Source organism: Homo sapiens, chromosome 12 (genome assembly GCF_000001405.40).
Source record: "Homo sapiens chromosome 12, GRCh38.p14 Primary Assembly".
Classification (NCBI taxonomy): Eukaryota; Metazoa; Chordata; class Mammalia; order Primates; family Hominidae; genus Homo; species Homo sapiens.
The window spans coordinates 9,992,391-10,005,660 of NC_000012.12; the positions used below are offsets into that span (position 1 = coordinate 9,992,391).

The window sequence follows — 13,270 nt, forward strand, 5'->3', positions numbered from 1 at the left end:
AATGTTTTAATGATTGAGCTATTTTTCTCATGAACTATCTTATACAAAGAGAAACAAATATCTCTCTGTTTTGTGAGCCAGGGTTTCGGGTTGGTGCTGGTAAGAGAATAGTGAATGGGGAAGTCATAGTGTTCGCTTTCATGGAGTTTCTGGTACAGTTAACACTCTAAAGTTCTATTTTAGGTTGTAGAACTGTGAGATATAAAAGATGGTTGTTATTATTCCTATTTTAAATATGAGAAAAGGGAAGTTAAAGAGGTTATGAAACTTGTTCATGATTGTAATTTAGTTAATTGACATCTAAATTATTTTGCTGATTCTAAGTTTAATATTCTTTTTACTATCTTACACCGCCTTTCAAACTTAGATATTTTGGACAGATTTCAAACATAGATATTTTGCACAACTTATATTAATTAAGCCCTAACCTATATTGGCCTGATTTTGATGTTATATGTGTATATCTGAAGATGCAGTAAATCATACCATGTTCAGGTAATTAGAAATGAAGGACAAGAAGAAAGAAAATTAAAGGAAAATAGAACAATTGGGAAGCAAATGATAAACTCACGTGATGGCTTCTGTATATTCAAAGAAGGGACTAGGTAATTCTGATAGGAAAGATAATATTAAAAATAACTCCAGTGAGAAGAAAGGGAGAAATAAGCAATTTTCAGCTACTGATGCATTCATACATATCTTTTATTGTACAATAAAGCCCTTATCTGTGTTATCCTGTCCACCTCTTTGCATTAAGGTAGTTGGTCCACCTTGGTCATGCCAGCCTTCCTCTCACACATTAAATAATGTTTGTTCTCACAGAAGGTAGGGTGCATTTTCCCATTATGAAAATAAGCACAATTCATATTTCCTTTTCCATCTTCCAAAAACTCAAACCTGTGAAGGGAAAGTTAGAATAAATTCCTTTGAAAACTGAGCAAACAATCAGTAATCAGACTCTGCGTATAGTAGTTTGATGCACCAAATAGAGACTGAGGAAAATAGGAAAAAAAAACAAAAAAAAAAACGATTCTCATTGTTGAGAAAGTTCCACCCTGCTTGGCAGTACAAGATATGCATATTTAAAAAGCCCAATATCAATTTCATTTAGCATAAAATTAGGAGCAAGGGAACAGTAGGTACAATAGGAGCCCTGAAGAAGTGATGGAGATGGCTCCAAAATAATGGGAAAACGCATTATCTACAAGATCAGACTTTAGTTCGGTATTGATGGAAGGTCAGGACTCAGATGAACTGACAGGAGATGGAAGAGCCCTACAGGACAAGTAGCTGCACTAGATGGGAATACGCTCATGGAAAAGTGAGTTGATTCAGTAGTTTTGAAATCAGGATTTATGTTGCAAGATAAATCATCTAACACAGCAGGCTGTATTGTAATTGTCTGTTAAGTTATATTTCTTTCTTTCTAAACTGCTTATAATGAGATGACAAGGAATATATACTTATTGGTTTATTTGGAGAATACCTGCAGAACTATGTGACAAAGTTGTTCTATGTGCTGAGGATACACTGATAAAGAAAGACAAGAAAGCTAATGTCTTTCTTGTTGGGGAACTTTCATTTAAGTGGGGCGATACCGGTAAGAAGCCCACAAAAAATAGACAAGAAAAATTGAGACAGTGGTAAGAGTTACAAAGAAACAAAACAGTGGTGGACTGTATGGATATGGGTTTAAGGGAGGCTAATTTAGTTTGGGTAGAGTTAGGTTCACTGAAGAAGTGATGTTTAAATAGAGACTTGAGTCTCAGTGGAGAGATGGTCATGGAGTTGTGGAGGCAGAGCATTCTAGAAGAAAATAGCAAGACAAAAGCCTTAAGGTAACAAAACGAGTTTGATTTGTTGGAAGAATGTAAAGAACACTAAGTTGCCTGCAATATTGTAAATGAGGCAGCAAGCAATAGGAGATAGGAGATAAAGCCCAAGGTCTGTGAAGAGGCTTGCTTGTAGTTGTAGTATCCTAAGATCCTATCTATAGTAAATACTTAATAAATATTTGTTTAAAAATTTAATTCATAATTTGAGTAATAATCAGATTATATAAGTTTTGGTTATCAGTTTAAATTTTAATTGAAGAGAGACTGCAGTTTTGATATACAGGATGAACAAAAGATGTTGAGACTGCAGATTGGAAAGCCATATAGGAAGCAACTCCACTCAATGCAATCAGTCCCTTTGCCTGGATTGTTTGTAGAAGGACAAAGCTTCGTTAATGGACATTGGAATTATCTTGTGAAATACAATGTATCGAATTCTTGGAGACTCCCAGAATAGAGGAATAGGCAAAACAATATTGAAAACTCAAAAGGACTCTCAAGATAACAACTTTCAACTGTAAAATAATGATATGAAATTTTGTTTTAAAAATATGTGAAGATAATCAGAACAAGCAAAACACAAAAACACACACACATGTGCATGCGCGCACACACACACACACACTCACACATACACATACATGCACACAGTGTTCCATGGTAAGGTTGAATGTAAAAATGAATGGGAATAATATCAGAGATAAAGGTGGATTGTGGCTTAGATAAAGAGCAAAGTAATGGGAGAGAGGGGAAAGAATTGTCTTATGACCAGCGCTGTCTTGTTTGAATTAGCAGGTAAGTGACCCAGCTGCTGCTTCTATAACCCATAGTAGTGACTTGGACTGAGAGAAGAGGGAATCTCAAGAATAAGAGTTTCCAGTACTCCCTCCTATTCTAAGTGTCCAGTGACTTACATATTTTCTGAGATAACCGAGCCATCCTCCCACTTCCAGACCTCATTCGACTTCTGGCGAGATAATCCGACCCAACGAATTAAATGAGTCCTGGCTTTGATGTACTCCTATTGTAAACATAAATAAACACAATGGTCAGAATCCCTCCACAGCTCTTGGTATGATAGACAAAGCTTCATGATAAGACGTTGGACAAAAAATGTTGGATTACATGTCTATATTAGTATTAATGGATTACATTTGATGTTTGAAATTGTACCAATTTGACTTGTCTGAGAACTTAAAAAAAACTTATAGGACACAGGTAAAATTGTACACAAAATAGCTGATATTCTAATCTTCTTTTGTGTTTATAACATGTATTTAGATCTTCAACCAGTTGAGGATTATACTCCCAAATAGAATACCAAATATGATTCAAAGGAATAAATGTAAACAGAGAAAGGAAATACAAAGAAATACATTGTTGATGAGCTGTATATTCCTTAGAGTTAAAGCCCTACCTGCTTTGGTTTTATTGCTCAGCTTGCCTATAAAATCTTACATATGGAAGTATTAACTTGTTGTAGTTAATTGGATAAAGGCATTTATGATGTCTTTCTCAAAAGGATTTATAAATAACGTACATCTACCTTTCCCTATTTACTTTCTTCTAATTAGCAATTATCACTATCTACTAAACTATATACTATATCATTTGCTTTGTTTCTTGGCTGTTGCTTTAACTAGAATATACTCTTGTCGAGGTTAAGCATTTTTCTTTCTGTCTTACTAACTGCATAGGTCCAAATTCTGGAATAGTTTCAGCACATAGTTGCTGAATTAATGAAGGAATAAGTGAATCAATCAATCTATGGGTAACAAAATTATGTGAAGGCCAAATGCTTATATATTCTGAGACCTCCCAGAATAACAAGTGATAATGCATTCTTGGTAAATAAAAAATGACTTGAGCTTCTTGACAGATATGTGAGACTCAAAATGGCATTCCACAGGAGATATTGTGTGAAAGTCACATGTGACTGTTTATTTCTTAAAGCTTGAGCCACCGGGAACCTTTCTGTTATATCCTAATATTTTCTTTAAAATATATCAATATTATATACTTCCCAATAGGAACTGACAGATAAATTCTACCTGAAATCCAACTATACAATTTCTTTTTCTGAAAAAGTTGCATGACTACTTTTAGTTATAAATCTTCAACCTGGCATCTGCCTAGACTAATACAAATTAAGGATATGCATATATGTCTCGAATTAATCTCTATATAATAGAGCTGAGATTTTAGAAAACTATCTTATTTTGCTGGAGTGGAAAGAAAAGCTAATTTATGTAACTGGATATCTTCCGTATGCGTCTGAGTCCACAGAAACAGTAAGTGGACAGCACAGCAAGTTAGAACAACAGAGGACACAAATAAATATGAACATCACTGGGCTGACTCTTCATGTGTGACCCACTATGTACCTGAGCTGTCAGGAAGGGACAAGTCAATTTGACTGATCAACTCTATCAGTGTTGTAGAATATTATGAGTGGATTGAATATCTGGGTTCTGTAATTCTTACTAGGTTTCACAAGGGTCTTAGATTAGTACAAACTGAAAGATGTTAAGAAAAATGTAAAAAACAAAAAAAGGTCAAGTGTTACATTTGAGGTTTCTCTTCCTTGCCTCCAAAATATTTGACATAAGAATCTTCTTACCACAATGTTCCGGTTGTCAATCTTCAGGAGAGTAGCATTCATGTCAGTGCAGTACTGCTTACTCTCTTCCCATGTTAAGTTGTGCCTGAAGAACCCATAGCAGCTATCTCCATAATATCTCCAGTTTGTGTCACAGGGGCTGCATTTATGACCTTCTGGAGAAACCAAGCACAGGAATGGTGTATTTTTTCTAAATTGGGCTTACATTTTCTTCACATTCAATGTTTTCTGCAGATCTCAAACTCCCTTCAGTTGCCATCAGAGAAATGCTCCAGGGGTTGGAGAGATGAAGAGGTTAAAAAAACAATACTTACTGAAAGTGCCCTTTAGTTCTGATTGTTTTACCACATATTGACAGAAGCGCTTTGCTAATTGTTGCAGAGTTCCTGTGCGATTTTCATTCTCACCTTGTAGGTAATTGCGCTGCATGACAGCTAGGTTTAAAAAGTAAATAATAATAATTTGTAATTAGAACCATAGAAATGATGCAAAGGTCTGTCATTGAATTTTCATTTCCTTAACTTTGCCAATATATGAGGAGTTTACTAGATACACATGATTAAATGAATGTTGAAAAGTGTGGAGGGGCTATAAAGAACAAATTAAGAAATACACAGAACTGACGCCTGAGGGTTAATAAGTGAACTGTTTGAAGGAGACAATCACAAATAAAAAATCCCAACATCGATAACATCCCCAGAGCCTGTATTCATTTGCTTGAATACAAGCTTCTCAGCTGAGTTATAGAGGTGAATGACCTCTTATTTTCTGTTCTTTCTGTGATGCCAAACTATTCATTCATTTAAAAATACATACTGATTTCTTGTTATGCTTAAAGTACTTGTGATATTCAGGTAAATAATAAAGAAATACAAGAGGATAAATGTTAGATTCTAACATCTTTTAAAAAAATCAACAAATACACAAACAAGCAACAACTACACAGACTTCAATGTGCTATTGGAGGGCCATGAGAATTACAGAAAGAAGAAATGCACAGTAACTTAGTAAACAAAATGAGAAACAGAAAATTTTAGGTAGAGAGAATAGAATGAGAAAAATTTCAGACAAGGGAACATGGAATTTATATATGAAATTGAAAAACTCCAGTTTGGCTGGTTCTTAGGAATGCAAGATAGGAAAAGGGATGAAAAAGTTTTTAAAAATAGTTTGGATCCACACTGAGGAGGGTCTTAAAGGCCAGTAGTACATTCTTAAAAATAACTTTTCATTAGTTAAAATCTTAAAATCTTATTTTAATCACAAGGAAACAGTCAGTGTTCTCCTTTATTGAGATTCTCTTGGCAACTATCTGTAGGACAACTGTAGAAGTGATAAACAGACAAATAGCGACCATTGAGAAGCTTAGTGGGATATGCCATGACCCTTCAGTATTACCTTCCTCCAGTCAAATTTCTGGCAGAGTCAACACTTACACCAAATCCCCAGAGCCACCAGCCCGACAACCATCCCCACGCACAGGATCAGCAGAATCAAAGCCATCACACGCCACCAGGAGGAGGATGCAGAGCCAACTGTAGGCATATAATAAAGACATCAAGGAGCAGGCAGTATGGGTTAGCTATGGGGAAGGCTCACCCCTGCCCCTGCCCCTGCCTTCTCAGGGTCCTCCAAGTAATAGAAAGAGCTTTGCTGGCAGATCTCACCTGTGTTCTCCTCATGATCATCAACAATAGGCATGGCCCACCCCTATACCATACATCCATTCTCATCTCCAATGCACTTTACCTCTCCAAGCTGAAATATTACTTGCTGTTAAGGCCTGATGTGTTTGTATTTTTTGTTTTGTTTTGTTTTGTTTTGTTTTGTTTTATGCTCACCCATGCCATAAATAATTGCTTTAATAAACAGCAAATGAAGAATCACACTCATTTGCTCACATATAGAAAATGAAATTTCCACTCTTTTCCGTTATCCCCTTGACTTCTATGCCCTCGAGTATTAAACGCTCAGAATCTTAATGCAATTTTCCCTGCACATATATTGGATGTTTGTAATCTAAATAGGTCTGTATGAGCTTATGAAAACACTACTCAAATGCTTTAGAGCATTAACATCATTCAAGAAAAAGAAATTAAACTATATATATTATCAATAGTAGAAAAAGAAAGAATTGAATCAACTCATTTTTTAAATTAATTTCCAAATTATTGGCTCTGAGCATTCTTACCGGAGATGAGAGCTGGTTTCCGAGTTTTAATATTTAAGGTGATGTATCCATCTTCATCCTGCATGGCTTCCCGAGTACTGCAACTGAGCTCAGAGTTCAATGACTTTGCAAAATGTAGTTTCCAACTTTACAATTTCAGTATCTGTCAGTTTATGATCTTCCTGTCTTTAGTAGGGTAGAACCATGTGAGATGGGACACATTTGTTTTCCTTTGCTTATTGTTTTCCAGGAAGCTTCTTCATAGCTGCTCAGAGATACATGGACCTTGAACACAAAAACACAAAAATAATAATAACTTGTGGTAAAGGAGTAGATAAGGTATTTGCTTCCTGCTTTTTTTTTATCTTCAACACTAAATAAAGGGACATTCCATCATGTGCATCCTTTCTAAGAACAAAAGTTCATGCTTTATCTTAGCCCTAGCTTAGTCTAAATTACATTGCTCAAATGAGAGATTTCTGCTGAAAATTCATGGATATAGCTCACCAGCAGATATATAGTTTATCTCATTGTGAGAAGCAAGTGTAATATAATTGGATCTGATAGGGGCTAAATTAGCTGTTTCATAGTCTTGTGTTGGAAGAGATCATTCCTGATTATGACCTAGAATTTACACAACTTCTTGCATATTTCATACTTTTTTTTATTTGAAGGATCCACATGAGGCAGGCCTGATATTGCTTAGATTTAGGTATTGAAGGAAAACTATCAAATCAAGTAAAATAATACAGAGTTGGTGACTTGCTGCATTGTTCTTTAGTAGTGTTTGTGCTTTAAAGTGAGTTTCCTGGAATGGAAGAATTTTGATTTGATGAAATCACTTCATTTCAAGTACAGCTGTGCTTAGATGAATATTTGAGACTGAATGGTTCCTAGCACCTTTTCATCACAATATAATATGTATTGCACACACTTAACTTTATGAAATGGGCTTTTACATTATTTTAGCTTGCACTGAAAGTAGTTGTAAGAACAGCCATACAAAGCTAGCTGATGCATTTATTATAGGAATATTGGGGAGGATGTTGTCTATTTTGCCATAGGGTAACTCTTACATAGTTTTATGGCAGATTTTTATTTTTGTTAAATCACCATGACTAGCAAAGCTTTAAGTAGTAGGCATTTACCTTATAAATAATTTGAATTCTATTTTTCTTTACTTAGCAGAGTGTTAGACTTTTCAATATAGTGATTATGTGGGCTGCAGTAGCAGATATTTTGTTTATTAACATGCCCTTTGGCATAGCCCGTAGATTTTTTCTCCCCTGCTATCTCCTTCACTCTGAATTTCTTGTCAATTCACTTAAAATTATCTTTCATTCTAAATTTCTTTCTCTATACTCTTCAAATTATTTTGAGAATGAGGTGAAGAATAAGCATAACACGTATAAAAGACATTCCCTGATTTTGGAAAGCCAAACTTAGTATGATTCAAATATTTTTACCAAAACTAATTCTTAATTAAAAAAAAACACATTTGAAATAAATGCCAAATTTTAAGAAAAGACTAAAAATTTTTAAAAAACATTAAATCCCAACACCATTTTTGTTGCTGTGTTTCTTATCTCAGTTAAAATATTCAGGGGTTCCCAATCATAAGCTGGGTAAATTCAGTCACTTACCATTCATCTACCACTGCTTCTGTTCTCATAACTTCTGTTTCAGCTAAAAGGGATTCTTCGCTCTCCCATCATTTATCCTCAGGCTTTTCTGGAAGATTGGGGTTGGAATGGGGTTTGATCCTCCCTCTCTTCCTTCCTTTCTACATCTACTCATCAGCAAGTCCTGAGGCTATTCTGTCACAGTAACCCCTGTCTTTCACGTTCTTTTGGTCACTGCTTTCCTTCAGTGTTTTGTTACCTAAAATATACAGAAACACTAAAAAATAATCGAATAAATAACTGTGACAAAGTAACAGAGAGAAAAGAAAATGTGTGGAGGTTATAGTACAAATGACACTTTTCCAATAAAGCTTTACTCTGTTCTCTTAGGTACCAAACAGGTACATATGAAAACTTAATTTGTTACATTAAATCAGATATGTAAAGGTAAGATCCAAGGACATTGAGACAATTTTTAAATTATTGTAAACATTTTTTGTTTATTAACAAAAACTTTAAGATGGTATTAAAGAGAACAATTAGATTGCTTTGTTGAGGTTTCCACATTCTCTAGGACTTGAGCAGCTGATTTCATTATAAAACATGTCCCATGTATTTTTGTAAACCACCAGGAATGTGCCAGGATTAGTTCTTGATCCTTTAATGCTTAGAACTGCATATTTAATGCCTGAAGTAGGTTAACACTCCGCCTTTGAAGATATTCCTTTCCTATATCTCAGGCTCTGGACTTTCCATTGCTTCATTCCTCTTTCTCATTGTAATTTAACCTTGCTTTTTGGATCTTTGATCATTCCAGCCACAGTCTGAGAGTCTTATATCTTATCTGTGTTCCACAAAATATACGTTTGCCTTTCTGTGTATCCCCCCTCACATGACTTTGTGGTGTTAGAAGCAAGCTGAGCGAAGACAGAGACTCTCAGGGCCAAAGGAACTAGCCCTTGATAACATTGAGTTCTAATTTTGCTCCCTCCCCACATTCTATAAATGTAAGTTGAGTTACTCAGCAAAAATTAAGCAGAGAACTGCAGGAAAGAGAGATAGATATCACAAATGCTTCTTTTCCTTTTCCCAAATCCAGAGTCTTTGCTAGTTACCTTTTAATCACCCTCCAAGTCCCGTTATTAGCTTATTTTATTTCTGCTTCAATATTTTAACCTTGCTTGAATATCTTATTCTCTTCTCCTTTTCTTCACTAAGGAAACTATATACAGCTAAACAAAATCTTTTTTTTTTTTTTTTGAGACTGAGTCTTGCTCTGTCGTCCAGGCTGGAGTGCAGTGGCGCCATCTTGGCTCACTGCAAGCTCCGCCTCCTGGGTTCACGCCGTTCTCCTGCCTCAGCCTCCCGAGTAGCTGGGAGTACAGGCGCCCACCACCACGCCTGGCTAATTTTTTTTGTATTTTTAGTAGAGACGCGGTTTCACCGTGTTAGTCAGGATGGTCTTGATCTCCTGACCTCGTGATCCACCCGCCTCGGCCTCCCAAAGTGCTGGGATTACAGGCTTTAGCTACCGCGCCTGGCCTAAAAAAATTCTTTATTCCAAATTTCCTGATGAAATTGAATTTAAAATAAAACCTTTTATTCATTCAATATTTTACAGATTAAGAACACTCTAAATTGTCTGTTTTAAAGGAAATATTTAATGAATGTTAATTATGTTTCAGACACTGAAATTGGTGCTGAGTATTCATGGAGAAAAATCATGAGGTTAGTCTTTATGAAGCAGAGTGTTAGATTTTAGCTATGTGAACTTCTTTAAAAAAATTTACAAGTTGGGTAATGTTTTTTTTTTTTTTTTTTTTGAGACGGAGTCTCGCTCTGTCGCCCAGGCTGGAGTGCAGTGGCGCGATCTCGGCTCACTGCAAGCTCCGCCTCCCGGGTTCACCCCATTCTCCTGCCACAGCCTCCCAAGTAGTTGGGACTACAGGCGCCCGCCACCACGGCCGGCTAATTTTTTGTATTTTTAATAGAGACGGGGTTTCACCGTGTTAGCCAGGATGATCTCGATCTCCTGACCTCGTGATCCGCCCGCCTCGGCCTCCCCAAGTGCTAGGATTACAGGCGTGAGCCACCGCACCCGGCAATTTGAGGAACTTTTTAATCATTACACTTCTTGTAAAAAGTAGTACTATTTACCCAGTTTCTAAATTCTTTCGACTACATTATGAAGTCTTTCATAGACTCCATTATCTATGTTTAAGGCTGAATAATGAGTTAAAGACACTAATAACAATGACAAGGAGTACATGCAGTAAGAATGAAAATTAGTGGAATACGTAACATTGTGGTTAAGACTGATCAATATACAGGGATGTCCTGTATATATTTTACACATGTAAAATATGTGTAAAAGAGAAAGACAACAAGATGTTGACCACTGTGGGTGTTATAATGATTCCAGACAGAAACAAAAGGAAGTGAGTATTTTGCAACTGGTGATAGCTATTCTGAGACTTTTTAACATAAACCACTTTTAAACTAAAGCTGTTTGCCTTTGACTTACCAGGCTTTCCACAAATACTAAATACTGTTTAATTTGGTAATGGTAGGATTTCCTGTCATAGAAAAGTATAATTAATATTTTCTCCTTCATTTACAGAAAGCTTAAACATGTGGATTTCAAAGTGAAATGAGCTTTTTTTTAAAGTTAATAAGCTAAACAATTAATAACTATCCGACCAAAATTACAGCAGAGCATTTGTTACAAACAGTAGGGAAACTGAAGGAAAAAATGTGTCAGTCTGCAGTCATACCGCAAAGTTGATCAGGCATATGTATACAGAACATATGTAAGTAAAATGTTAAACAATAAATAACAATGAATTGGATTAAGATTTACATTAATATTTGAAGAAAATGTAAATATTGACTAAGAGGAGAAAGGAGAAGGCAATGTTTTTCAGGCAGGGCAAACAACTGAATAAAGGTCAGGAAGTTCGAATACATGTACCTCTTGTAAAAAGCAATGCCAGGCGTCAGGCATGCTAGCTCACTCCTGTAATCCCAACACGTTGGGAGGCCAAGGTAGGAAGACTGCTTGAGCTCAGGAGTTTGAGACCAGCCTGAGCAACATGCTGAAACCCTTCCTCTACCAAAAAAATACAAAACTTAGCCGGGAGTGGTGGTGTGCGCCTGTAGTCCCAGCTACTTGGGAGGCTGAGGTGGAAGGTTCACTTGAGCCCAGGAGGCAGAGGTTGCAATGAGCCAAAATTGTGCCATTGCAGTCCAGCCTGGGTGACAGAGCCAGACCATCTCAAAAAGAAATAAAAAATAAAAAATAAGCAGTACCATCTAACCTCATCTAATCCACCCAGTGTGATTGAGGGAAATAGTGTGATTAAGGTGAAATGGGAGAGGTCTGGCCCTCTTAGCAGGGTATGTGACGGGCATGTCTGTCTGTTTGACTGTCATGAGCTCAAATCCCTTGTGGGAGGGAGAGCATGCAGACGGGCAGGTGCAGGAGTTGGGGTGAGCACTTTGGGCTGTGGCCCCACTGTAGTGTCTAGGGGTGGGTGCCTGGAACCCCAGTGTTACAAAGTTCTTTTAGCTCTGCCATCTGCAGACAACATAAGTGTTAACCAGCTCAGTGCCTCCCCGGCCTTTTCTCAAGGGCAGAGGGCCAGTGTGACAGCTTTCTGTATTCCAAGCTCTTGTCCAGCATCCCAGAAGAAACGGGTCACACATGAACTCAAAGGATGAATGTGGGGGTTTTACTGAGTTGTGGAAGTGGCTCCTAGTGGGATGAATGGGGAGCTGGAAGGTGGATGAAATGGGAAGGTGATCTTCCTCTGGAGTTTGGCCATCCAACGGCCAAACTACTCTCTGACCACTCCCAGCCAAACTCCTCTTGGCGTTCAGAAGTTCCTCCTCTTCTCTCCTTCTCTGTCATGTCATTCCACCTTTCATCTGCTTGTCTTCTCATCTCCTCGTCTGCTCATCTGATCTGGAGCCTGGAGTTCAGGGTTTATATGGGTACAGAATAGGGGGCATGGCAGGCCAAAAGGCAACTTTTTGGGGCATGAAAACAGGAATGTCTGTCCCCATTTGGAGCTGCCAGTCTCCCAGCTTAAGGGTGGGGCACGTGCCAGGGAACCACTCTCTTCTTTATAAATATATATATATAACATTTCAAGTTCTAGGGTACATGTGCACAATGTGCAGGTTTGTTACATATGTATACATGTGCCATGTTGGTATGCTGCACCCATTAACTTGTCATTTACATTAGGTGTATCTCCTAATGCTATCCCTCCCCACTCCCCCGACCCCACGACAGGCCCCGGTGTGTGGTAGGAACAACCCTCTTCTACCCAGTATTTCCCTGTCTCTTGTCTGAATCAAAGAGAAAGTGAAATGATCTAGTATATTTGAATTAAGGATTCACAGAATGTTAAGTATATCTACTATTGTACTTTCCAATTAAAATTACTATAAAACTTCATGGCAGGGACTATTAATTAATCATTTATTTGAACATATGTTTACTGATCACTGCAGATGTCCAAGGCACAATTCTATTTTCTGGGGACCAATGGTTAATGAATTATACAAGCATTTAGCTTATATTATAGTAGAAGGTGGTCAGCACAGATAGTAAAGAAACATAGAAAGCAAAGATCAAGATAATTGTATATCATGGAAAGTGTTATGAATGAAGAAAAGTGATATAATCGAGTTCTTCTGGACAGGCTCAAGCAGACCCTCGTTGTGCTCATGAGGATTGGTTTGTTTAAGCTTCACTGTCAGTGCTTGGACAATTGCCCAGGTTTCTTCCATTTTTAATATGATCCAGAATAATCCAAACTTGCTTCTACGATGACAGCTGCCATTTATTGCTCTTTCTATATGCTTTTATCAGTTATATTTGTGGCAGGAATTAAATTTATGACAGATTTACTATTAAGAAAAATAAAGCACAGAGGTTCAATAACTTGCCGAAAGCCACAAGGCAAGTAAGTGTTGCTCCAGGATTTGAATCAATTTGTCTGTCTTCATAGTGCTT

General features: G+C 37.1%; 2 protein-coding genes across 10 annotated transcripts in view; one reads left to right on the forward strand and one right to left on the reverse strand.

Moving 5' to 3' along the window:
• CLEC12A (C-type lectin domain family 12 member A) overlaps positions 1-13,270 on the forward strand; it is a 54,883-nt gene that overhangs the window by 41,123 nt on the left and 490 nt on the right. For 2 of the 5 annotated variants that reach the window (XM_047428399.1, XM_006719035.4), the window contains exon 7: positions 2,628-2,900. The exons of 1 other annotated variant lie outside the window; for it this stretch is intronic. In XM_047428399.1, the coding sequence (XP_047284355.1) occupies positions 2,628-2,634 (7 nt within the window). In that variant the 3' untranslated portion in view covers positions 2,635-2,900. Of the gene's footprint in view, positions 1-2,627; positions 2,901-13,270 lie in introns of those variants that run through there. 2 more of the 5 variants (XM_047428400.1, XM_011520573.3) reach the window with 1 other exon arrangement.
• CLEC1B (C-type lectin domain family 1 member B) lies at positions 685-9,509 on the reverse strand. Of its 5 annotated transcripts, none has more exons than XM_047428938.1 (8): positions 9,363-9,509; positions 8,269-8,356; positions 6,647-6,910; positions 5,892-5,990; positions 4,770-4,889; positions 4,456-4,610; positions 2,750-2,856; positions 685-897 (listed from the first exon to the last, which is right to left on the reverse strand). In XM_047428938.1, exons 3-8 carry the CDS (start codon positions 6,708-6,710, stop codon positions 753-755), a joined length of 690 nt encoding a protein of 229 aa, XP_047284894.1. In that variant the 5' UTR covers positions 6,711-6,910; positions 8,269-8,356; positions 9,363-9,509; the 3' UTR covers positions 685-752. The 5 variants fall into 5 exon arrangements, with proteins under 5 accessions (XP_047284894.1, NP_001380271.1, XP_011518987.1 ...); NM_001393342.1 differs by having other exon boundaries at positions 8,269-8,506; XM_011520685.3 differs by lacking the exon at positions 5,892-5,990 and having other exon boundaries at positions 8,269-8,506.